This window comes from Homo sapiens, chromosome 12 (assembly GCF_000001405.40).
Source record: "Homo sapiens chromosome 12, GRCh38.p14 Primary Assembly".
NCBI lineage: Eukaryota > Metazoa > Chordata > Mammalia > Primates > Hominidae > Homo > Homo sapiens.
The window spans coordinates 85,981,986-86,006,915 of NC_000012.12; the positions used below are offsets into that span (position 1 = coordinate 85,981,986).

The window sequence follows — 24,930 nt, forward strand, 5'->3', positions numbered from 1 at the left end:
ATTTCAAATGGTAGAATGAAAGGAAATGAGATATAAAGAAATCTAAATTAATTTAATAATTTCCTCAACCTAGTGATAACAAATACACTCACATAAACAAGTCTTAAAAGAGAGGTCAATTTTTGTGGTCTTCACATAATTTATTAAGATCATGATAGCACTGTATTTTATTCTAAGATTCATGGTTTTTTTGTTTTTGTTTTTGTTTTTTTGAAATGGAGTCTTGCTCTGTTGCCCAGGCTGGAATGCAGTGGTGCGAACTCAGCTCACTGCAGCCTCCACCTCCCAGGTTCAGGCGATTCTTGTGCCTTGGCCTCCTCAGCCTCCTGAGTAGCTGGAATTACAGGTGTACACGACCATGCCTGGTTAATTTTTGTACTTTTAGTAGAGAAGGGGTTTCACCATGTTGGCCAGGCTTGTCTTGAACACCTGGCCTCAAGTGATACACTTGCCTTGGCCTCCCAAAGTGCTGGGATTACAGGCATGAGCCACCAAACCCAGCCTAAGATTTATATTTTACACATTGAAACATTTAAAAATCAGGCTGCATACTAAAATCAACAGCGTTATAATTAAAATTGGTAATGCTTATACTTTCTTAGTGGTATGCTAATTAGATAATGGTACTTTTTGTAAGCTATGGTGTCTTAGAAATATAGTATGTTACTTCTTGGCTCCAAATATATTTTTTTAACTGACTGCAGTGTGTTGAATAGTTTCCTCCAAAAATTCATGTCTACTTGGAACCTCAGAATGTAATTTTATTAGTAAATTTGATCTTTGCAGATATAATTAGTTAAGGATCTTGAGCTGCAATAATTCTGGATTTAGATGTGGACCATAAATTCAATAACTTGTGTCCTTATAAAAAGAGGAAAAGACACAGAAAGACAAAGAGAAGAAGGCCATTGATGATGGAGGCAGGAATTGGAGTGATGCCCCAAAGTCAAAGAGTACCAGAAGCAAAGTCACCAGAAGCTGAAAGGGGCAAGGATTCTCCCTTAGAACTTTCAGAGGGAGTGGGGACCTGCCAGCACCTTGATTTTAACCTCTGGCTTCCAGAACCACGAGAGAATAAATTGCTCTTTTTAAAAGCCAGTCACTTTGTGGTAATTCGTTATGGCAGACCTAGGAAACTAAAACACTGAGTTTCATTAATTAAAAAGTTGTGGCAAGTCATAAAACCAAACTGTTAAGAGGTTAGAAAATGTAGCAATATGAACATAGGAATTTTTAAAAGTTAACTTCTAAATTTTAAAGTAAATTGATTTTTTTCTAGTCACTCTATACCATCCTACAACAAAATCTCAAGAGACTCACATTACGATTAGGCATTTTATTTAATTTTTTTGTTATTAAGTGTACTGGGTCAGTGAGTATAGTAGTTGGCAATTTGTGAAGAAACATTGAAGTTTTGCCCAAATAATTTATTATATTAGTAAAGCCCTTAAGCCTTTTTACTATACATGTGAAACTATCATTATTTTAATGCAAAATATTTTATGTATTCTTTATTTAAATGTTTAAGGATACTTACGCTTTCTTTGTAAAGGTGTGGCAGCTAGGTAGCGATAGGTGACATTTATGGCTCCTGAGAAATTAGATAAATCCTTGAAAGTATGAACATAGCGTTCTGAATTCAGTTGATGTGTGGATGTTTCCCTTATAAGTTGTTTGTCTCCTTCCTAAATACCAAGAAAGAAGCAAGGAAAATATATAAATAATAGATGGTCATGGATTAAATAAAGTTTCTTTTTTACACAATAAATGTACGACTACAATATATAGTATGCAGGGTTATATAAATCTCAACTACTGACGTCATAAGCTGTAGCTCATCATCACTCACCTCATTTTTTACCTGGAGGTTCTGCTCCAGTAGCTCGCTCGCCTATTTTGCTGTGTATACCACAATTACATTTGTTTTTCTATAGGACACATTAATAATGATAATCTCTTAAAAAAAGAATTTCTACATGAAAACTCCCACTGCCTTTATGCTACTTTTCAAATTTTTGACAATCATTTAAGGATCTCAAAATTGACAGTAATCTATTTTATAGTTTAATCTAAGGCTAGTTCCCACCATATTGCCTGATTTACTCTTCCTCAAGCAGTCTCAAATAAAAGATCACACAGTGTCTCCATGATTGTGAAACTTTAGGAATGATTAGGAAGATGCAGTAGTGGGCACAATATTTGGATTTTTGATACTTTATTAAATAAGTCACTTATGTGGCTACTATCTAGCTGTTGAGAAGGGCCAGTTATGGGTGCTATGGCAGTAATTTTTTTCATATGTCCTAAAGTAACCTCAAATAGGATACATTAGCACCAAATTAAGGTAATGTGTAGATATCTATGACTAATATTTCTTATGATAGTTAAGTTTGTGTGTGTGTGTGTGTGTGATTCTATTGGATGTAATGCCCGATCCTTTTATATTTTAGATCCCTTTTATTTATTTGGTGATGGATTTTGCATGTCATTAAATCTTCAGGAAGGTTTATATTCAAGAAAACATATTCATATTCAGATTAAAATATATCCTTTACCCACTAATTGCCCTTCTTTGATATAAGCTAAATGGTAAATTTTGATTATCTAATCATCATTTGATCAAGCCTTTACTGGTTATACACTATTAGGAAAATGACTATTTGTTTGACTCATATGTGATTTACTAGAATTGGTAGAATACATTTGAGAACAACCTAATTAGAAAGAAATATTTCTCTCTCTCTCTCTTTTTTTTTCTCAAAATGTGCACTCTACTATGTGGTTTTATTTATTTATTTAATTTTTTTCTTTGAGATGGAGTCTGGCTCTGTTGCCCAGGCTGGAGTGCAGTGGCATGATCTCTGCTCACTATAACCTCCGCCTCCTAGGTTCAAGCCATTCTCCTGCCTCAGCCTCCCGAGTAGCTGGGATTGCAGGCACACGCCACCATGCCCAGCTAATTTTAGTATTTTTTAGTAGAGATGAGTTTCCGCCATGTTGGCCAAGCTCGTCTCAAACTCCTGACCTCAAGTGATCCACTCACCTCGGCCTCCCAAAGTGCTGGGATTATAGGTGTGAGCCAGCACACCTGGCCTTATGTGGATTTATTTTATTCAGTATAGAAAGTCAAGCTAGGCATGTGCTAGCTATAAGACTGTAGAGAAAGTAAATGGATTAAATAACTCTGGTCCTGCTATTATTTTGCTGTGGTCATTAAAAGGTTAATTAAAGCCTTGTTCTAAAAAATTAGACAAAGCTCAGATACAAGTTTTACAGCTGAAACATTCAATACTTCTACTTCGCATCAATCTCGAGTGACAATGAAAAAGATGACTAACTCAGATTTTCTAATCTATGGCCAGACGTGACTATTCTTAGAATAAAAACTGAAAGTAGGGACCTTAACTAGAGGCTTCCAATATGGTCCTTACTAAATCAAGATTCATTCTGAATATCTTTTCTGTATATCCAAGTATGTTTATAAATCCAAATTTGGTCTTTAATAGTGTATTTCTCTATTTCATACTGCCTTTGATAATTTGGACCAAGAAATACTTTAGTCCTTTATAAGGTTCACAATGTGTAAAAGTGTGGTTTTGTGTGGCTTTTACACAATGCCATGTGTAAAAGCCACAAACTTTCAAAGTACTTGAGATTAAACCTTAGATGCTAAATTACTTAGAAATATACTAATTGGCTATCCACTGAATTCTGATGATTTTAAGTTCTTTATACATAAATATTTTCATTGGTGTTTACCTGCATACCTATAAAACATCATTAAAGTTTAAAATAAATTTAGAACTGCCAAAATGTAACTAGTGACTCAGTTTAGTATCAATTATTTTAATAGTAATGTAGTGATGTACATAATTAATAATGCCTGGAAGAAATTTCTGTAAAAAGTACAGTAATTACAGCACTAAATTCATTTTACCATTCTATTCTTAGGTGATGTTACATTCTAAGGTAAGTGCAGGATATTGAATACCTCTTTAAAAATTCTATCCTTAACACATAAAATCTAGAAATTTTGTGTTATAAGATGGAGTACATTCATCCTGATTTAAGGACATAACAGAATATAAAAAGAAATGGAACTTACATGAAATCACTTTATTAAATTCTCAGGAACAAGCTTTTTTATACTTTTCAGCATAAATAAATAATGCAACTTTCACCTGAGTCAGCCTTGTTGGCTGCTTTCCAGAGTCACCTACCTGAACAGCCAGGCTCTCCCTGGATACCTTCTTTCTGTAGCTACTATGCTGTAGTATATTTCTCAGTAATAAGACAAAGCTTTATGACAATCATTTTCTGGATGGGAATGCAATTCAATGAACTAGCTGCAGACTAAATATATACCCTTGTGGCTACTTTGAAGATGCTCAAAGCCAAGAAGCTAAGTTGATTGGGCATGCAGTGTCTCTTCTACTTAGTTTGCCTTGTAACGGTGTTTGTCTCTTACACTAAGTGCAGCTTCCTTTTTCACTTAAAGGCACATATATCTCTAATACATAAGCAAATATGCTAAACTGCTAATATGCCTAGGGTTTCAGGCCACAAATGGATTTTCTAACAAAAAGACGAGAATAGAATCTGTTAACTAACTCCAGAGACCTTACTACTTCTAACTATTCACCTGATATCTCTAAGTTAGAAGTACTATTTCCCAGTTTTTAAAAAAGGAAGACAAAAAAGAAAGATCTACTAATATCTGTGCGTAGCAAATTGCATACATTGTGATAATCGGGAAGAAAGAAGAAAAATGAGTTCAGATAATTTTATTAAAAAAGAAATAAACACAGGTAAAAAGATCAAAAGGGAGATGTGTTAAAAAGAAATTGCATTATATTCTTGGAGGGGGCCAGTTTCCCATGGATACTATTCATTTTTAGAAGAATAATTGTAATGCAATTTAATATTAATCATTGAAAAAGTTTTCAACTTATAGCCTTGAAGCAAAATTCAGCTAAAATGCGATTTGGTTAAAAAACATCCGTCAGTAAATAGTAAATTGTTAAATAATAAAAATGCTATCATCAAACTTAGAACAAGGGATGAGTGTTGGAATTTAGCAATTGCTTTAACTCATTTTTTTCCAACTTTTGTAAGTATTTTAAAATAATAATTTTTTTTTTTTTTTTTTTTTTTTTTTTTTTTTTTTTTGAGACGGAGTCTCGCTCTGTCGCCCAGGCTGGAGTGCAGTGGCGGGATCTCGGCTCACTGCAAGCTCCGCCTCCCGGGTTCACGCCATTCTCCTGCCTCAGCCTCCCAAGTAGCTGGGGCTACAGGCGCCCGCCACTACGCCCGGCTAATTTTTTTGTATTTTTAGTAGAGACGGGGTTTCACCGTTTTAGCCGGGATGGTCTCGATCTCCTGACCTCGTGATCCGCCCGCCTCGGCCTCCCAAAGTGCTGGGATTACAGGCGTGAGCCACCGCGCCCGGCCAATAATAATTTTTAAAAGCTAAGAAGCAATCTGTTTTCTGCACCTGGACTGATTTGCAAATTTGAGTAGATATATTCCTAATATAATCACAGAAATCTCATTGAGAAAGTAGCTTTAGTAGAAGAGCTACTTCATTAAATCATATTATCTACATTTGATGACTAGGACCAATGTTTAGATAGCACTGTAAACATTTGCAAAACAGGAACATAGCATTTTATTTTCTAATTGACATATACTCTACTACTTCTTACTCATTTTATGGTGAATTTAAACAGGTTCTATTTCAAAAGACATAAGGGCGTTTTGCACATTCAATGGTCCTTTGGGTTTGTTGAAAGTGAAAGATTAAAATTGCACTGGAAACTGTCTTATAAATTCAGCAAGTAATTGAACATAGCAAGCCTCCAACCAATAACATGTGTTTGATTTACAAGATTTTATTTACTTCTACCAGTAGACACAGAATCAAGAAATAAATTTTTATTATAAAATTGAATAATTAATCAAGAGAATCTCTAGTTAACTTACAATCTTTCATTATCTTAAGAAAAAAATAGCAAGAACACATGGGCCTTGTTCTGTTGTCCTTATTATATCTCATATAACTAATAGGTTTTAAAAATATTCAAAAATGCATAACATTAGTATGTTTCTCCTATTTTCTAAGTTTGCCTAAATCATACCTACTCAAATCCTGTTTAATCTTTGTTGATTTCAGCCATTGTGCATAGACTGTGGAGAGAAACATTAAGGGTCCACAACATCAGAATCACTATTTGAAGACAAAAAGCCTAGGCAGAGTCAAAATCTAGGATTCTGGTACAATTTCAGCATCAAAGAACAGAGATAAAGGATGCAAGATGTTTTACAGAGGACTTCTTAGGAATATCTGTACCAACTAAAATCATATGGTTGACTCATAGGATATAGCATAGTATCTGGAAAATAATAGTTAATAAATAATCTAAAGCATTTTTTTTTGGAAATACTCTCTCTCTTGTTAAGACACTAATTTAAACTTTTAGCATTTTTGCATGTGAAAATCACTTTTTAGTTCCTGTTAGTTGTAAAGGTTTTGATTTCTGAAATATATAAACTGTAATCAGGTTTTGATTTTCTGAAATCTATAAATATTAATAATAACATACAAATTAGGACAGATATTTTAGGCTCCATTAAGATAGAAAAAGTGAATAGCAATAATGTCTGTATTAATCTCATCAGACATGAAATGATGTGATGATAACAATAAGAAAAAAATTGAAACTAACATATTAATTTTTCATAATTAGTCAGAATAAGCGCTTTTGCATATTGTCATATTTTCCCTAAAAAAACCTATTTATATGTAATCACCTACCAATATTTGGTATCTCATTTTAACTACTGAATGATTTACACATCAATATCTTTATCTCTTGAGATCTTTTCAGTGGGTACAAATATAAAACAGAGTGGCCATCTAGGTCTATTCAAAATTCAGATAAGGTGTTACACATTGTAATAAAATATTACTTATACAAATAGCACAATTAAAAAGCATTGTTAATTAGACAATGGAATTTTGAAAATTTCAGTGATAATATAGAAAAGTAGAGGAAGCAAGGAGTTATACTTTCTAAGCAGATTTTGTTTATTCTATGCATTTCAAATGGAAAACCCAAAATCTTAATGGCTCCACATATTTATTCTGCATAGTGATGATAGCTAACTTATTTGTAATTACATGTACATATTTGGAGCACAAAATATACACCATTAAAAATATTGGAACATAATTCAAAACAAGTGTAATGTTGATGTATGGTTAATACAAAAAATAGACAATATACATGTTATAATTTTGCTCAAACTAAGTCTTCTCCAATAGCTTGAGATTGAAGTTAGGCTACAATGGGACTAATTCTTGTTTGACTTATGCCTTATTTTGAAGAAAAGACAATCAACCTCCCAAACTTACCAGAACATAGCTATCTTCAATGTACAAGTTCATAAAAAGGAGAAAAATGACAAGAACTCCCAAGAATGACACTGTAGAACGTTTTCTCAGGCATCTCATTTTATCAAGTATTTCAAAAATATGTTTCATTTGATGAAATTTAAACATTCTCTTCTGTGGAAAAGAGACACAGAATTACTAGCAGTTGGTTTTGGATGCAAATATTTCTTTATCGCATATATAAAAGTCAGGTCCTTGTAAAATTTCATCTTTCAAATGTTTGAATTAAAATTCTGTTCCCAATTTCAAACATAAGGTTGGCACAGATCATTAATTAATATGTTAACATAAGATCAATGCAGTGGTTTATATTAATGTAGAGTAAATAAAAATAAAAAGCAAGTCTCATAGTTACTGACGAAAAAAGATGAACTTTGGTCATAATAATGTAAATAAAACAGGCCTCTGATGAGAAACAGTACAAAAGCACAATAGAAAAACAGTCAAGTCCACTGTCATCAGTGAGGTATAACTTTAAGGTAACATTTACCTCTCATATTGTAGTATAACGAAAATGAGAAAAAGCAGAATTATGGGCCTAATATTAATCTCAGAGTAGGTGTCAACTGAAAATATTTAACTGGGAATCTGGGTGGAGTAAAGAAAAGTGATAAAGAAGTTAAGGCTGTGGGGTAAATCCAAACATATGTTTGAAAACTTCTGGGTTACAATTGCTTTGCTTATTTTTCCAATTATTCTTGTTAAATCAGGGTGAATCCTATAGTATTATATTAACATTTCCTTGATATCTACTACTTAGTAGTTTAGCTGTTTGAAATAATTCATGTACTACACAAAGGCAAAATGAGAGTCAGAAAGATTCGTGAAAACCTAATTTAAAAAAATTTTTACTCTTCTATTTTCTGATATTTTCCAACCAAAGATTCCTTTACATTATTCATTATTTTATAAAAAAGTATAAACATATCTGAAGCACTTAACAAACTAGAAAAATCACATTTTGTGTAAAATCAACACATTGATAACCTGAAAACAGAGCTACTTAGAGTTGTGTAATGGATCTCCTTGGGTTTATCTTTATGATGAAGTATTTATGTGTAAGGGAGACTTTAGAAAGTGAAAAATGTCCGTCCCCTATAATCTTAGAACTATGCCTAGAACATAGCTGGCAAATCTTATCTCTTCAATGAATTAATGCAAGGGAGAATTTGTGGGTCCTTATAAATTATAGTAAAAATATTAGGAATTAGAAGAAAGTCTTAATATATAAGACTTAATATATGACTTAATAATTATAAGTCTAAAAATAATTTCTAAAAAAGAATTATGAAAGTGCTATACATATTACTGTCCATTTTCTTTGATCATATTTTTCTTAAGGGTTATTTTTCTTATAAATTTGTAGAAATTGTAAATATGTGTATAAATATGCACACATAGATGCACATAAATGTATATCCTGAGGATTTGGGTGATATATGACATTTCAAATAGTATGAGAAGTGGTAAAAATAATGCTTTGGAGGCAATATTGTAGTTCTGTTATGGGATCTTCAGAGTGTTGCTTTTCTGATCAGAAACCTCTGTGACTGGTGGCATCTTGCCAGAGTCCTTGTCCTGCATCGAGGAAGAATGAGGTATTCAGACAAGTGGAGGGTGAGCAAGATGAAGAGGAGCTTTATTCAGTGTTAGAACCACTCAGACAAGACCCACAGTGGGTAGGTCCTCTCTGTAGACAGGTCAACCTGTCAAGTGTTCAGCACTTAGCAGAGAGGTTAGCTCCTCTCTGCTGCTGGTTGATCCACCCTCTTCTCAGCAGACAGGGTAGCTCCTCTCTGCAGGTGGCCACTCCATCATCTCTCCATCCTCTCCTCTGCTCTGGCTGAACACGGGGCTTTTATGGGCCTCAGAGAGGAGGAAGCGCATGCCAACTGATCCATGGACAGCCATGGGCGGGCCCAGAAAAGGCACCACAAGTTCCCAGTCTGGTCTGCAGGACTGGCAGCCTGGCCCCCAGGCTTCAGGCCTTCACCAGCCTGAAGGTGGGGCTTCACTGGGGACCCACCCCCTTCCCCCCAGAAGTCTGTCTGCCTCCCACTACTGTCCATAGTGTCCAGGCTGCTTGCACCAATGGGCACCTGCAGGCCAGTGACAAGACACCCTCAGCCCCCTCCTTGGTTATCCTTCCCGCACTCGTGGGCGCTTAAAGCCTGGAGGGTGCTGAGATGACAAGCAGCTGGCATGTCAGCACTGCCCAGAGCTGACATTACAGGCATGAATCTGAGATGCTGTGCCTTGGGGGAACTCAGTGTCTGGGCATGGTGGCTCATGCCTCAAATCCCAGCTCTTAGAGGGGCAGAGGTAAGAAGATAGCTTGAGCCCAGGAGTTTGAGACCTGCCTGGGCAATATAGTGAGACCCCATTCTCCACAAAAAGGAAAAAGTTTACTTCACAGTTCTAGCAGCAGAGTTTCCAGGTGAGATTTCATCAGAGCAGGTCCTTGGAAGTTTTCACCATCCTGATGACAATATGGCAGGGGTGGTGACCAGCGAGCCATCTTCAGAAGTGGCCCTACCTTTTCAAAGGGCAGACAAAGGTGCCACTAGCAACATACGTTTCTGGCCAGAAAAGCAACACCCCAAAGATCCTGTAACATTTTGGGGGCTCATCCAGGGTCTGCGGAAAGGTAAGTAAAAGTGGATCTGCTCTTACTGTCTTTCTTTGGAGTCTCTAACTTCCACAACAGTCAAAATGAAAGAAAAATACTGGACATTTGTCAGTCAGTTAAAAGCGACTAGCACAGCTACCAGGACTTAAGACATGGAGAACAGACTTTCTGGGGATGACACTGTCAATCCTCTATCACCTCTACTGGGTGTTGAGAATGTTGGCTTTGTTTCAATCCAGTGTCCTTTCATGCATATCTAGCTGTCACATAGGACTGAAAGGAAATCTTGGGGCAACTAAGGGTATCTGGCCAAGGCTACACCTTGGTGTTATCCAAAGGCCCCTGGACTAACTCCAGTCCCTGACTGCCCATTAGGGTGTTGGCACTTGGACCTCCAGTCTTTCCTATCATTCTTTCTTTCTCTCTTTTGTGGCTGTCAAGGTTCCCATCTCTTCTTTATATACAATGTTAAATGTTAAAGATGTTGTTGCAAACTAGAGATATTACTGGGAAGAATGTGGAATTGGCTCAGTCATCAAAAGCATAAAATGGAAAGTTAAGACAAAGCAAAGTGTGTGTTGGTATCTGTACATAAATTTGTGGCAAACATGTTTTTGTCATTTCCTTTGTTGCCAACTTAGTGTCAAGCACTTTGAAGCACAGAACAGAAACATGGCCTCAGGAAGAAAGCTTTTCTGTGAATGTGAGGGCAAATGGTCCAAGGTCCCATGTGCTGGCCTTCTTTGCCTTGCAGGGCAATTCGGACCTTTGCCGAGACTGTAGGATTGATTAAGCCCTCCTAGATGGCCATCTCAGGAGAGGCTGCAAGAGACGGTCCCAGGGAAATAGGGAAGCAAACCCCAGAGGTGCCTCCAGCAGGGGAATCAACCCCCTTTGCTCTTCCCTATGCGGGTTCTCTCTTAAGCTTGCCCCAGCCTAAAAATCTTCGTTTTAGGCAGGTCCCAGTCTCAACTGCTCCAATAACAGATGCCTGGTGAATATGGCCCCATTAAGGTCCAGGTCCCCTTTTCAAATTAAAGGGGGTCTTGGCAAGTTTTCAAATGGTCCTGACAGGTATATAGAGGCTTTCTAGAACTTAACCTAAGTAATTGAGCTCTCCTGGAAGGATGTCGTGTTACTTTTGAGTCAAATCCTGACCACCACTGAAAAGCAGGGAATCCTGCAAGTGGCAGAGAATTTTGGAAATGAGCTTTATATCTTATATAGGGCCAGGGATGGGGAGGAGTTGGAAGAATGGCAGTGCCATTGGAGGACCAGTTGGAAGAATGGCAATACCATTGGAGGACAAAATGAGCCCCTCATGATAAAATGAGAGAAGGGAGGAGGAAACACTTTCAGGTTTGCATACTGCAAGGCTTACAAGGGATTGGGTCCAGCCTCTCAACTGCACTGAGCTATCCATGGTAGACCAGGGATTGGATGGGAGTCACACTGCCTTCATCAGTGGGGCTGGAGGGGCCTTGGTGAAGTGTGATTCTCCATCTCCTGATTTGGTTAAGGGACAGCTGGTCCTAGGGGGATGAGTTAATCACACAGGTGGCCCCTGATGTCAGGAGGGGGCTGCAAAAATGGGCTGTGGGACCAGATGGTACTTTGGAGGGCCTTCTGGGAGTGGTCACCTCAGTATTTTGCAGTGGGAACCATGAGGAAATCCAGAAAAGAGAGGGGAGATACAGGAAAAAGGCAGAGGCTTCCAGTAGCCACCTTGTGGACCCGCAGACCCCAGAGTCCCCAAGATGCATTTGTTGACTGCCACAAATGTGGTAGGAGGGACTGTCTAGACAGCAGGAGGAGGCCAGGTAGTGGAGGCCAGTGCCTACGCAGGCACCCCTGAGCCTGTGTAGATGGTGGCATGGGGTCCTTCCAGGGTCCTCAAGGGTGCAGACCGCAGAGAAGTCTGGATTCTGCACCTGGGAGGGCAGCTGCAGTGGCTCCTAGGGAGGGCGAGGCTCCTGCCTGAGCAGTGGCATGGGAGGCCCAGGCCAGCCTCCCTGCTGCAGCTGGCATCTTGGCAGCAGCCACTCTTGATGGGCCACTGCTACCATTAGTTCTGTCTACAATAATTTGAAGTAGAATAAAACAACAACAAAACCCCAGGATATAATTCCCAAGAGTTGACAAAGAAATACAGAAGTCCTTAGAGAATAATGACAGTCGTCTAAATTCTAATATCCAAATTCTGCAAATTGTAATCCTCTCAAATCCATTCACAATACAGAATACAAATAAAGTTTCCATGGTGTATACCCCCAGAGTAACTATGATACAGACAATTAGCACAAACTTTAATTTTCATTTAATTGAGAACATTTACACCCATTGTCAGCAGAATAGGCTGAGAAGCCCAAACCAGAGCAAACAAAAGATCAAAAGACAGAACAAAATAAATGTCATTTATTAAACAAACTATGCTAGACTGCAGGCCGTTAAAAATTAAAGAAGCTAATAAAGCCATTCACACTCCTCCCCCACCTCAAACATAGAATTATTTTCTACACCTTGGTTTAGGAAAGTTTTTAAAAAAATCCCCCCCCAGCCGCCAAAAAACAAACAAAAAACAAAAAACAAAAAAACACTCGGACACCCAAAACCAGACTGACAAAATTACTATGAAAAGGAAAACAAAATAGCTGATTTCAAGTAGGGAGAACAGACTCCGGGATTAGTCCATATTTTTATTGTGATATGAAGCAAGAAAGCTCTCAAGATTAGTGGAGACATATCTAAAGGACATAGAAAATGGCTTGAAAAGGCTTCCATTAAGGAATTTTGGGAAAACTGAAGATTAAAATTTATGGGCTATGATTGATAGTAAAATACTGAATAAATATAAATTAATGATGAAATGGTAATTATAAATGGAAAAGAAAGAAAAAGTAAGAAACCTCATTTGCTACTACTGAAGGTGAAAACTTTACCATCTTCAGTCACTAGAAATTGGTAACTGAAAGTATTAACATTTTTACCCAGCATTTCTAGAAGACACTATGTTTTATCCACAGTTGATGACTTTTTTTCTAATATTGGACAACAGGCAGCACAGGGCAATATCCCCAAGTGAAGAAACCAAATAGGTAAGCCCTGTGATTTTTCCTGCTTGCTGTCAAGAGGCGGTTTCCAAAAGGCAGTACAGGGACAGTGAATCCAAACAGAACGTAGAGATCTTGCCAATTAGGAGACAGAAATAATAATTTGGGGGAGATAAAGGTACCTAGAATTTGAGTGGCAGAATATTTAAGAGAACAAGTGACAGAAGAGAGACTCAGAATTCTGCAGACGGCTCTTCAAATCTTTGAGTTGATACTGGTATGTCATGTGTGTCATGAAACTTCATAAGACTAGAGAAAGAACCATAAAAAAGTAGTAGGCCAAACAGTTCCTGAAGCTTATACAGTGTTGGAGATAGTTTGTGTGTCCATAAGCCAAGTTTGTGCGTCCATCAGCCAGCAAACTTGGACTGGACATTAAAAAACTGGACATTAAAAAGAATACTCAGAGGCCAGCTGCGGTACCTCATGCCTGTATTCTCAAAACTTTGGAAGGCTGAGGCAGGAGGAGAGCTTGAGCCCAGGACATTGAGACCACCCTGGGCAACATAGTGAGACCCCATCTTTACAAAATATAAGAAAACTAGCCTCGTGTGTTGGTATACATCTGTAGTCCCAGCTACTTGGGAGACTGAGGCAGGAGCATTACTCAAGCCTGGGAGGTCAAGCCTGCATGCAGTGAGCTGTAATTGTGCCACTGCACTCCAGCCTAGGCAACAGAATAACACCCTGTCTCAAAACAAACAACAACAAAAAGAATACTCAGAAGCATATTACCTTAGTATTTGGGCCAATACTCTCTAGGCCTGTCCTAATGAAAGCTTAACAACAAGCATCAACAGCATCAAATTATTTTGCATAACTTAACTCCATACTAGTACAAAGTACAGCACTCTTTAAACATATAGGACAATGTCTAGAACTTAAGAACATAAAAATCACAATATCCAGGATCCAGCAAAAATTACCATTTAAATCATGGACAATATGGTCTATAACTAGGCTGAAACTAATCAGAGAGAAAAAAATCAAGACATAACTGAGATGATAGAATTAAAAGAAAAAGGATATTAAAAAGGCTATCATAAATATGTCCCATAGGCTCAAAATAGAAGAACAATGATAATTTTAAGGAGAGAAATGAAATATTTAAATAAAAACAAAAACAATTTCTAGGGATGAAAAATTTTATGTGCGAAATGCAAATACACTGGCTAGTAGATAAAGAATAGCAGGAGAAAAGATACAACGGTAGAAATAATACAAATAAAGCACAGAGAGAGGGACAAACATCCAGCCAAACTGCTGTCTAAATTCTGAGTCACAGGAAAAGTGAGATCATAAATGTTGTAAGGCATTAAATTTCAGAGTGTTTTCTTCGGCAACAATAGACAACTGATATAGCTATCTACAGGAAACTCATTTTAATGATAAAGACAAAAAATGAGTTAATAATAAAAGAAAAGATAGAGATAAACATTAATCAAAGGAAAGCTGGACTGGGTATATTAATATAATACAAAGCAAACATTTAGTAATTAATGAAAGTATCAATTTTTCAAAGGAAGCATAAATGTACATGCAATAAATAAGAGTTTCAAAATACCTAAACAAAACTGACATAAGGGAAAGGATAAAAAAGGGAATAAATAAAGGAGGAAGAAAGGAAAGAAAGAGAATAAATAAATTCATTCATTTTCAATATATGAATATCGAAGTCCTCTATTTAAATATTCCTCCCTCAATAATTGACTGAACATGCAAATACAAAACCAGTAAATGTCAAAAATATTTAAAACACTATCAAATAAATTAATCTACTTGGGATTTATGAAACACTCCACCCAACAATAGCAGTGTATAAATCTGTTTTCATGCTGCTGATAAAGATATACCCAAGACAGGGCAATTTACAACAGAAAGAGGTTTAATGGACTTACAGTTCCACATGGCTGAGGAGGCCTCACAATCATGGTGGAAGGCAAGAAGGAGCAAGTCACATCTTACATGGATGGCAGCAGGCAAAGAGAGAGATTTTGCAGGGGAACTCCTCTTTATAAAACCATCAGATATTGTGAGACTTATTTACTATCGTGAGAACAGCACAAGAAAGACCTGCCTCTGTGATTCAATTACCTTCCCCTTGGTCCCTCCCTTGACACGTGGGAATTGTGGGAGTTACAATTCAAGATGAGATTTGGGTGGGGAACCAGCCAAACCATATCATTCCACCTCCCAAATCCCATGTCCTCACATTCCAAAACAATCTCGCCTTCCCAACAGTCCCTCAAAGTCTAAACTCGTTTCAGCATTAACTCAAAAGTCCACAGTCCAAAGTCTCATCCGAGACAAGGCAAGTACCTTCAGCCTATGAGACTGTAAAATCAAAGCAAGCTAGTTACTGCCTAGATACAATGGAGGTACAGGCATTGGGTAAATACAGCCATTACAAATGGAAGAAATTGGTCAAAACAAAGGGGTACAGGCCCCATGCAAGTCCAAAATCCAGCAAGGCAGTCAAATCTTAAGGCTCCAAAATTATCTCCTTTGACTCAAGGTCTCACATCCAGGTCATGCTGATGCAAAAGGTTGGTTTCCATGGTCTTGGACAGCTCTGCCCCAATGGCTTTGCAAGGTACGGCCTCCCTTCAGGCTGCCTTCATGGGTTAGCATAAAGTGTTTGTGGCTTTTCCAGGTGCACAGTGCAAGCTGTCAGTGGATCTACCATTCTGGGGTCTGGAGGATGGTGGTCCTCTTCTCACAGCACCACTACATAGTGCTCCAGTAGGGACTCAGTGTGGGGGCTCTGACCCCACATTTCCCTTCTGCACTGCCCTAGCAGAGGTTCTCTATGAGGGCCCTGCCCCTGCAGCAAACTTCTATCTGGATATCCAGGTGTTTCCATACATCCTCTGAAATCTATGCAGAGGTTCCCAAACCCTGATTCTTCACTTCCATGCACTCTCAGGCTCAATACCATATGGAAGCTGCCAAGGCTTGGGGCTTGCACCCTCTGAAGCAATGGCCCAAGCTCTATGTTGGTCCCTTTCAGCCATGGCTAGAGTGGCTGGGATTCAGGGCACCTAGTCCCTAGGCTGCACACAGCACTGGGAATCTGGGTCTCACCTATGAAACCATTTTTTCCTCCTGGGCCTCCAGACCTGTGATGGAAGGGGCTGCCATGAAGACCTCTGACTTGACCTGGAGACATTTTCCCTATTGTCTTGGTGATTACATTCTGCTCCTCATTACTTATGCAAATTTCTGCAGCTGGCTTGCGTTTCTCTTCAGAAAATGGGATTTTCTTTTCTATCGCATTGTCAAGCTGCAAATTTTCTGAACTTTTATGCTTTGCTTCCCTTATAAAACTGAATGCCTTTAACAGCACACAAGTCACCTCTTGAATGCCTTGCTGCTTAGAAATTTCTTCCACTAGATACACTAAATCATCTTTCTCAAGTTCAAAGTTCCATAAATCTCTAAGGCAGGGATAAAATGCTGCCAGTCTCTTTCCTAAAACATAACAAGAGTCACTTTTGCTCCAGTTCCCAACAAGTTCTTCTTCTCCATCTGAGACCATCTCAATGTGGATTTCATCATCCACATCCCTATCAGCATTTTGGGCAAAGCCATTCAACAAGTCTCTAGGAAGTTCCAAAATTTTCCATGTTTTTCTATCTTCTTCTGAGCCCCCCAAACTGTTCCAACCCCTGCCTGTTACCCATTTCCAAAGTTGTTTCCACATTTTTGGGTATCTTTTCAGCAGCGCTCCCCACTCTACTGCTACCAATTTACTGTATTAGTCCATTTTCACAGTGCTGATAAAGACATACCTGAGACTGGGCAATTTACAAAAGAAAGAGGTTTAATGGACTTACAGTTCCACATGGCTGGGGAGTCCTCACAAACATGGTGGAAGGCAAGAAAGAACAAGTCATGTCTTACATGGATGGCAACAGGCAAAGAGAGCTTGTGCAGAGGAACTCCTCTTTATAAAACCATCAGATCTCATGAGACTTATTCACTATCATGAGAACAGCATGAGAAAGACCTGCCACCATGATTCCATTGCCTTTCACTGGCTGCCTCCCATGACACATGGCAATTGTGGGAGTTGCAGTTCAAGATGAGATTTGGGTGGGGACACAGCCAAACCATATCAAGCAGAATACACATTCTTTTCAAATGCACATAGAAGATTTTCTAAAACAGACCTGATTTGGGGATGACAAGTCTCAATACATTTAAAGAAATCGAAATTATATACAAATGTTCACAATGTGTCTCCATTACTGGATATATATCCAAAGGAAGACAAATAAATATGTTAGAGAAGTATCTGTACTCCCCTGTGTATTGCAGCACTATTCACAATAGCCAAGATAAGGAATCAACAGAAGTGCCATATGCAGATGAATAGGTAAAGAAAATGTGTGTGTGTGTGTGTGTATATATATATATATATATATATATACATACACAATGGAATACTATTTAGCCATAAAATAGAATGAATACTATTTAGCCATAAAATAGAATGGAATACTATTTAGCCATAAAATAGAATGAAATCCTGTCATTTGCAGCAACACAGATGAAACCAGAATGCACATGTTAAGTGAAGTAAGCCAGGCACAGGAAAACAAAGACTGCATGATCTAACTTATTTGTGAAATCTAAAAAAGTTGAACTCGTAAAAGCAGAGAGTAGAATAGTGATTACCAGAGGCTGGGAGGGGAGATGGAAGCTGGGTTGGTGAGAGGTACAGTTACAATTAGACAGGAAGTATAAGTTCTTGCAGTCTATTACACATTAGGGTGACTACAGCTAATAACAAAGCAGTGTATATTTCAAGATATCCTGAAGAGAAGATTTGGAATGTTATCACCGAAAAAACTTTAAAGTGACAGATATGCTAATTACCTTAATGTGATCATTGTACAATGTATACACATGCATTGAAATATCACACTGTACCACACAAATATGTAAAATTGTGTCAATTATAAATACAAATAATTTTAAAAGAAATTAGAAAAAAGGGTAAACTAACCCCAAAGTAAGCTACAAAAAGAGCAAATTAGGCAAAAAGTAAACAAAATAAAAATGACAAAAGTAAAGGTAAAAATCAATGAATAAGAAAAAATAGAAACAAATGCTGGTCCTTCAAAAAGATCAATAAAATATATATTCCTCTAGCCATACTGATCAAGAAAAAAGACATTATTAATATCATGAATGAGACACATGTCATATCACTAAAGATTCTACAGGATAATGGTATATTTTGAAAAAATATGCTAATAAGTTTGACAAGTTAAACAAAATGGAGAAATTCCTTGCAACACAGAAAAATTATTTATCTATTAATAAAATTGAATAAGCAGTTAAAACATCCCTCTCAAAACATTCCAGGTCCATATGTCTTCACTAGTGAATTCTACCAAATATTTTAAGGAAAAAGTATACCTCCTCTACACAAGCTACTCCAGAAAATAGAAGAGAAGTAAATAATTTATATTTTCCAGATCTAATAAAGCATTTTTATTAAATTTTATTTGATAACATTTTAAGTAATTTTATGAATAGTAGGAGTAAACATGAATATGTTGAAAAACAACTTTATTAGAAATAATGTTAAGCATCTAAACATAGCTAACCCAGATTTTCTTTCTAATTTTTCCAATTTTGAAAGTATATGTCTACCAAATCTACGATGCCTCATCAACTGCTCCCCAACTATCATGCCAGAACCTGCAACATATCCTTCTTGTAAGCTGTGGTTTCATATTTCTAGTATATTTCTAACAGGCTCATGCTTATCACTAGTTTGGATTATTCCTGCGTTTGCACCATCAAGACACTATACACTTGGGAATTTCAATGGCTCATAATTTTGTTGAAGGGAGGACAATTTCCTTATCCTGTCAAATCAGTTTAGCCAGAATTCCCCATCCTCCATATCTGATCCCTCAATATCTGATCAAATTTCTCACCCACCACTATCTCCCAGGTAATATATGATCACCCTGACCTGCCATCAGTAAGAATCCTTTCAAGCCAGTTTAGCAAAAAATTATCTACCCTCTTAATGATTTTCAATCCACTAACTTGCATTCTTTTCCTTGGCTATAAATTCCAACTTGTCTTTGTTGTATTCAGCATTGAGAACAATCTCTTTCTCCTACTTCAATACCCCATGGCAGTAGACCCTTGAAATCCCTTGAATAAAGTCTAAATTGCCATCTTTAACCAGTGTTATAATTTTTTCTTTAACAGTTTTTGCTGCTATGACTTGTATAGGATCAAATTCATTATTGGATTCCCAATCTTCTGACCCAGAATCCCAAGCACCTACCTTTGAAGCTTTCGTCTTCACTTCTGGTTGATTGATGGATGAGCCATTGGTGATTTCGACTCCTGAGCCAGTGCTCCAAATGATAAGTCTGTTGAAGCACAGTGAGGGCTGAGAGAGCCTGAGTACACTATACAGAGGCTGAGTTAGTCCTGTTTCTTTTTGTAAGAAGTTGGTATAGTCACATGCTTCTCTGTTAGGAAGGTACTGGCTGAATTGTAAATCTTACTTCCTGTTTCTGTCTTTGAGTGGGAATTTACTTCTTGAATCCCTGAGCTGAAATATTTTCCTTGGTTCTTTGTGAGGCAACTCTGTTCTATTTGATCCTATTTCTCCCACGGTAACTTTTTAGTCAACGGAAACCCCCTTCTTAAACTCTCACTGATCGTATACTCCACTTCCTTTCTTGTGGTCATGGTTTTGTTAAGGATAATTTGAGACTTCAGGATCTCTTTGGGAAACTGAAGATTTTCCCGAAGTGAGTCCTCTGAGATCTCTTCCTTCCCATTGCTTCTGCTCCTCCTTCATCCTTTTACTACCTTCAATCTTCCCTTCAGCTTTCTTGAATCTTTTGATATGTGCCTCTTCAGACCTCTTTCCTCTGTCTACCTGTCCTCCCAGACGTTTTTCCTTCCTGCTTCAGCCCTTCAGTCACCTGAACTTTAGGTCTCCTATTTCCATCATAACTTTCAAGGGACTCTAGGACCCCAAAAGCAATTGTCTGAGGTTGAAAAAGGAAAAAAAAAGGCTGATTGAAAAATAGATTGGATATTTTATCCAGATGAGGCTTTGGAGACATCCAGATAGGTGCTTGATGTTCTTTCAGTTTCTTGCCTAAAATGTGGTCACAGCCTCCATAACATTGCATGTATGGGCAAAAGAAAATCTTAAATGTGTCTTCTCCACAAATATTGGCTAAAAGCTTTAGTCCTCATATTGAGAAGGTAACCTTAACTTGTTCCATCTGTCAGAAACACAATGAATAAAACTATAAAGTAGAGGAAATAAGAGAGTATTACTGTGTTGTCTAACTCCTGGCTAAAGTTTCAGAATAAAACCTTTAAGATCTCTTATAATATATGTATACATTACATTTATATACAGATATATATGCAATATATATTCTTATATTTTATACATATAGGTATAGAATATACATATATCCCATTCTATGTATATACAGAATATACATATATCCCATTCTATATATATAGAATATATATTACATATATGTATGAGTAATATATATGATTATATATCATAATATATATGAGATTTATCTGTGGATGGTATTATCAAATTACTTAGTACTTTCTTTTTGTGTTTTAGAGACAGATTCTCACGCTGTCACTCAGGCTGGAGTGCAGTGGTGCAATCACAGCTCACTGCAGCCTCGGATTCCTGAGTTCAAGGGATACTCTTGCCTTAGTATCCCAAGTAGCTGGGACTACAGGCGTCCGCAATCATGCCCAGCTAATTTTCAATTTTTGTTTAGAGATGGGGTCTCACCATGTTGCCCAGGCTGGTCCAGAACTCCTGGGCTCAAGCAATCCTCCTACCTTTGTCTCCCAAAGTGTCAGGATTACAGGTGTGAGCCACCACACCTGGCCTAAAATTTCTTAAATTCTGTTCCAATTTTCAGTGATAAATGTGTGCTTATATAAGGTAAATATTTCTAAAACTCTCAGAAACTAATTCAAATGCTTTTCAAATTCACATGAAATGGACGTATATTTGGCAATTAATACTAGCTTCATATTGTTTGTTTCGTAAAAACAGCTACATTTTCTGATATATCAACATTCAGTATAATATGAATACACATTTTTATTCCACTTGGGCTTACTAGTTGAATCAGGTAATATGTCTTCTAGATGCTTAGGATTAAAAAAATTATCAGTTCGACCTTAGAATAAGTGTACAAGTAAAGATGCAGTAAAGAAGAGTTGTTTGATGCCCATTACTTCATATTTCTCAAGACAGCCATAAAACCAAAAACCTGTGTGTTTAACTTCTTTGGTTTTTGCTTTTGTGATGCTTGCCTAACATGATGATGTTAACTGTAAAAACAGTTAACAGGGAAGTAAATTGAGATTATGGCTAGCTTTGCCTGGTGTTGCAATATAGTTGCTGAAAACGGTTTCCAAATTATTTTTGTTAACTTGAAGTTTTAATGTTTTTCTAAGCTGTATTAAGTAATAAATACTCACTAAATATCTAGGTCATTACGAAGTTTTGTGAAGTTGTGAAGTTTTGTGAAGAAGAAGAAGAAGAAGAAGAAGAAGAGGGAGAAAGCTCAATGCTTTATTAATGCAAAACTAGATTTTTTTTTCTGTGGAAAATGCCAGTTTTCTTGGATTACAGTAAAAGGCCTTTTTGTTCATTTTACCTTTTAAGTAATCTTCCTAGGAAGCCAAGATTTTGTGTCTTATCAAGACAGTTTTCTATGTTTATGTTAACCTTTACCATTGGCCTTGATTATTTAAGAGAACTGAGAGCTTGCAATTTAAAAGCACTAAAGTATTTTACATGTTTTACAGTGTTGCCTTTTCAAAACAAATCTTAAGTGAAATCTTGTTTTTGAACTGATCTTGAAATTTCTCAAAGGGACCCTAAAAAATGTCAAAAAATTTGTTCTTTCACCTTGTAAAGAGAAATACTAAAAATAATTTGGTTTATTTAATTGATACATTGCATTGCATGAAAAGACACTTTCAAATAAGAAAAGATACTTTAACTTTCCCTAGATTATATTTTTGTATGGGCAAACATTATTAGGTATTTTAGAAATCATATAAATTTCCTAGAAATTTATCAATATCCCTGCTGTCCACAATATCTCTTAGTTTAATGTCATCAGTGGTGGCTCTAATTATTATTGTATGCCTCAAAAATAGCCAAATTATCTTGTCATTTGCATCATTTTTATGTTGAACTCTCATTATATGTTAATTTCCATTTTAAATTTTTTGTCATTCACATATATTCTGATTCTTCTCTGAAAATATTTGCAATCAGCTACAAGCCATAATGCTTCATGATGGTGTTGATTAATTTAGAGACCATAGTACTGAATTAAGGATTTTCAGAACTAGAGTAGACAAGCCAATGGGTTCATGAAATTTCTAACCCAAGAGCAAGGAGAACAAGAATTATTTGTTCTGATGGACAATAATGAAGTGAAGAAGAGTGATTATGGTTTTGTTTGACAGTTTGTTGGTTCTTAAATGTCCTATTTTGTGGATATAAGCACTCCCTTCCTTTTTCTCTTATTTATGGAACCACAGAACCAGCCCAATCTGGTTCAACTTTGAATAATAAAATGGTGAGTTATTTTTCAGTTGCCATGGGTTCTGGGTTGCAATTTATGTAAACTGCTTATGCTCAGATGAACCACATGTGTAACTGTAGGCAGAAACTAAATTCTAGGACCAAGAAACAGGGACTGAATTAAGAAGGGGACATCTCATGACATAATTCAATTAGATCAAGTCCTGGCATCACCCCATGGCACAATCCAGTCGGATCATGCCTCATGGCATCATCTCGTTGTAAGATCAAATCAGATCACACCTCGTTACCCTCTGCCTATAAAACCTGCCCCAGTCACCAGCCTGAAGAGACAGATTTGGTCACTGCCTTGTGTCTCCTTGCCAATAAACTCATGATAAAACCTTTATTTTCTCAAAGACTTGTGCCACATTGGGCAGAGAAGCCATTGCTTACTCAGTAACATTTACACTTGTAAAAATCAGTAGATTATACTTTTGTACATATAATATTTTCTCCCTGATCCTTCCAGAATTTGTAAACTATTGAGTATTCTTATTTTCCTGGCAATATAGTTATTTACATGAATTTAATAAGAATCTGTTCTTGTAACAGAACACAATTGGAAACATTGGTTATATTTATAAGGTTTTGACTGCAATGTCATATTTGAGAATGATGTGTATAGAATCTGAGTTAGGAACTGAGGTTAACTTTATAATAAGGAACAATTTTTACAAAGCTATCTTGAAAAAGCTGGCCCAATAATAATTGGCTTCTAGGGTTCTTAGCCTTACAGATGAGTAAGGAAGATCACTTCCTAGCAGGCCCAGGGAAGATGGGCTATCTTGGGAACCTCAAGAAGACAGGAATTCATTCAAATCTGTAAGTACCAGAAGTGAAGTCTGATGGCTAGTTCTTGGCTGGACTTCTTAGCTTCAAAAGGTTTTTGAAATTATAACCTGAGATTCCTTATGAAAAGTTCCAGCAAAGAAAACTCAAAAAGACCTATGTGGTCAATTACCATTCTTCCTTTCCTTATGTAAATAATCAGGTCAAATCTAATGAGACCAGATTTATTTTGTCTTTTAAAAGAGAATAACCTCATTTTGGTTATCTTTGATAAAAAATAAGTGTGACTAGAGAGATACATTTTATGTTCCAGTGGAAAAATATAGTGCACTCTTGTGAGTTCTCGATTATTCTAGCTTTTTTCCAGTATCCGTCTACAACTTCCAATTTTCTCTCACCCTCCTGACTTGGAGTCAATGAGATGTAAAACTGCCCTTTTTTCAAAACTCTGCAAGCTGAAGCTCGACTATGTGATATAAACATCATGGAAATCACTGTAACAGATTATGTATGGACAGCCTTTGTGCTTGTTGCTGTGTGGGCCACTCAGAATGTTCATGGAAACACTTCATGCTGTCACTGAAAACATTCAACCTGCAAACCCAGAAGCTTTGTCAGTTTGCCGCTGCCATCCCCACTTCCCTATCTAAAGATTCTTCAAGCTCAAATCAAGATGTCTTCTTGAATGGCGGCCCTGTGGAATCAGAAACTGGGTTTCTAACCATTAATTTTTTTGTTAATTTTCATAGAAATTCCCCTCATTAAATTCCTGACTGCTAACCCATCCAGCAAATATATTATACTACCATATCCCAACAGATGTTTCAGCTGGTCCTCAATGAGCAAAAGATAACTCAAAAAGAAACAGACTTGTTTTGTTCAATGGAAAAAAGAATATTTCTTTTCTTGAACAAGAGGAGGGACTGACAAAGAATCTCTCCTTGACTAAACTTTAATCAGTCTCCTCTGAGCTGAAGTAGGCCCCATGTTGGGCATATCCTCCAAGAGCCTAGTTTTAGCACTTACCCTGTAGAGTCGGCTTAGCCAAAATCCCCTGCTCTCCATATTTCATCCCTCTCAACATCTGATCAAATTTTTCATCCACCACCATCCCTCAAGTAATGACTGACAAATCTATCTTGCCTTAAGCAAGAAACTTACTGGGTCATTTTTGCAAATAATTACTCTACCCTCTTAGTGATTTTTCCATCCACTGACTCACATCCTGCTCCTTGGCTATAACCTTCTACTTTTCCTTTTGTATTCAGAGTTTAGCCCAATCTCTGTCCCCTACTACAAAACC

At 37.0% G+C, this 24,930-nt stretch overlaps 1 protein-coding gene across 11 annotated transcripts in view; it reads right to left on the reverse strand.

Annotated features, from left to right (window-relative positions):
* Window positions 1–24,930, reverse strand: part of MGAT4C (MGAT4 family member C) — an 883,334-nt gene that overhangs the window by 26,319 nt on the left and 832,085 nt on the right. For 8 of the 11 annotated variants that reach the window (NM_013244.5, NM_001351286.2, NM_001351285.2 and 5 more), the window contains 2 exons: window positions 7,415–7,567; window positions 1,538–1,685 (listed from right to left, as the gene is read on the reverse strand). In NM_013244.5, the coding sequence (NP_037376.2) occupies window positions 1,538–1,685; window positions 7,415–7,561 (295 nt within the window). In that variant the 5' untranslated portion in view covers window positions 7,562–7,567. Of the gene's footprint in view, window positions 1–1,537; window positions 1,686–7,414; window positions 7,568–19,508; window positions 20,494–24,930 lie in introns of all 11 variants that reach the window. The other 3 variants (NM_001351282.2, NM_001351291.2, NR_147093.3) reach the window with 3 other exon arrangements.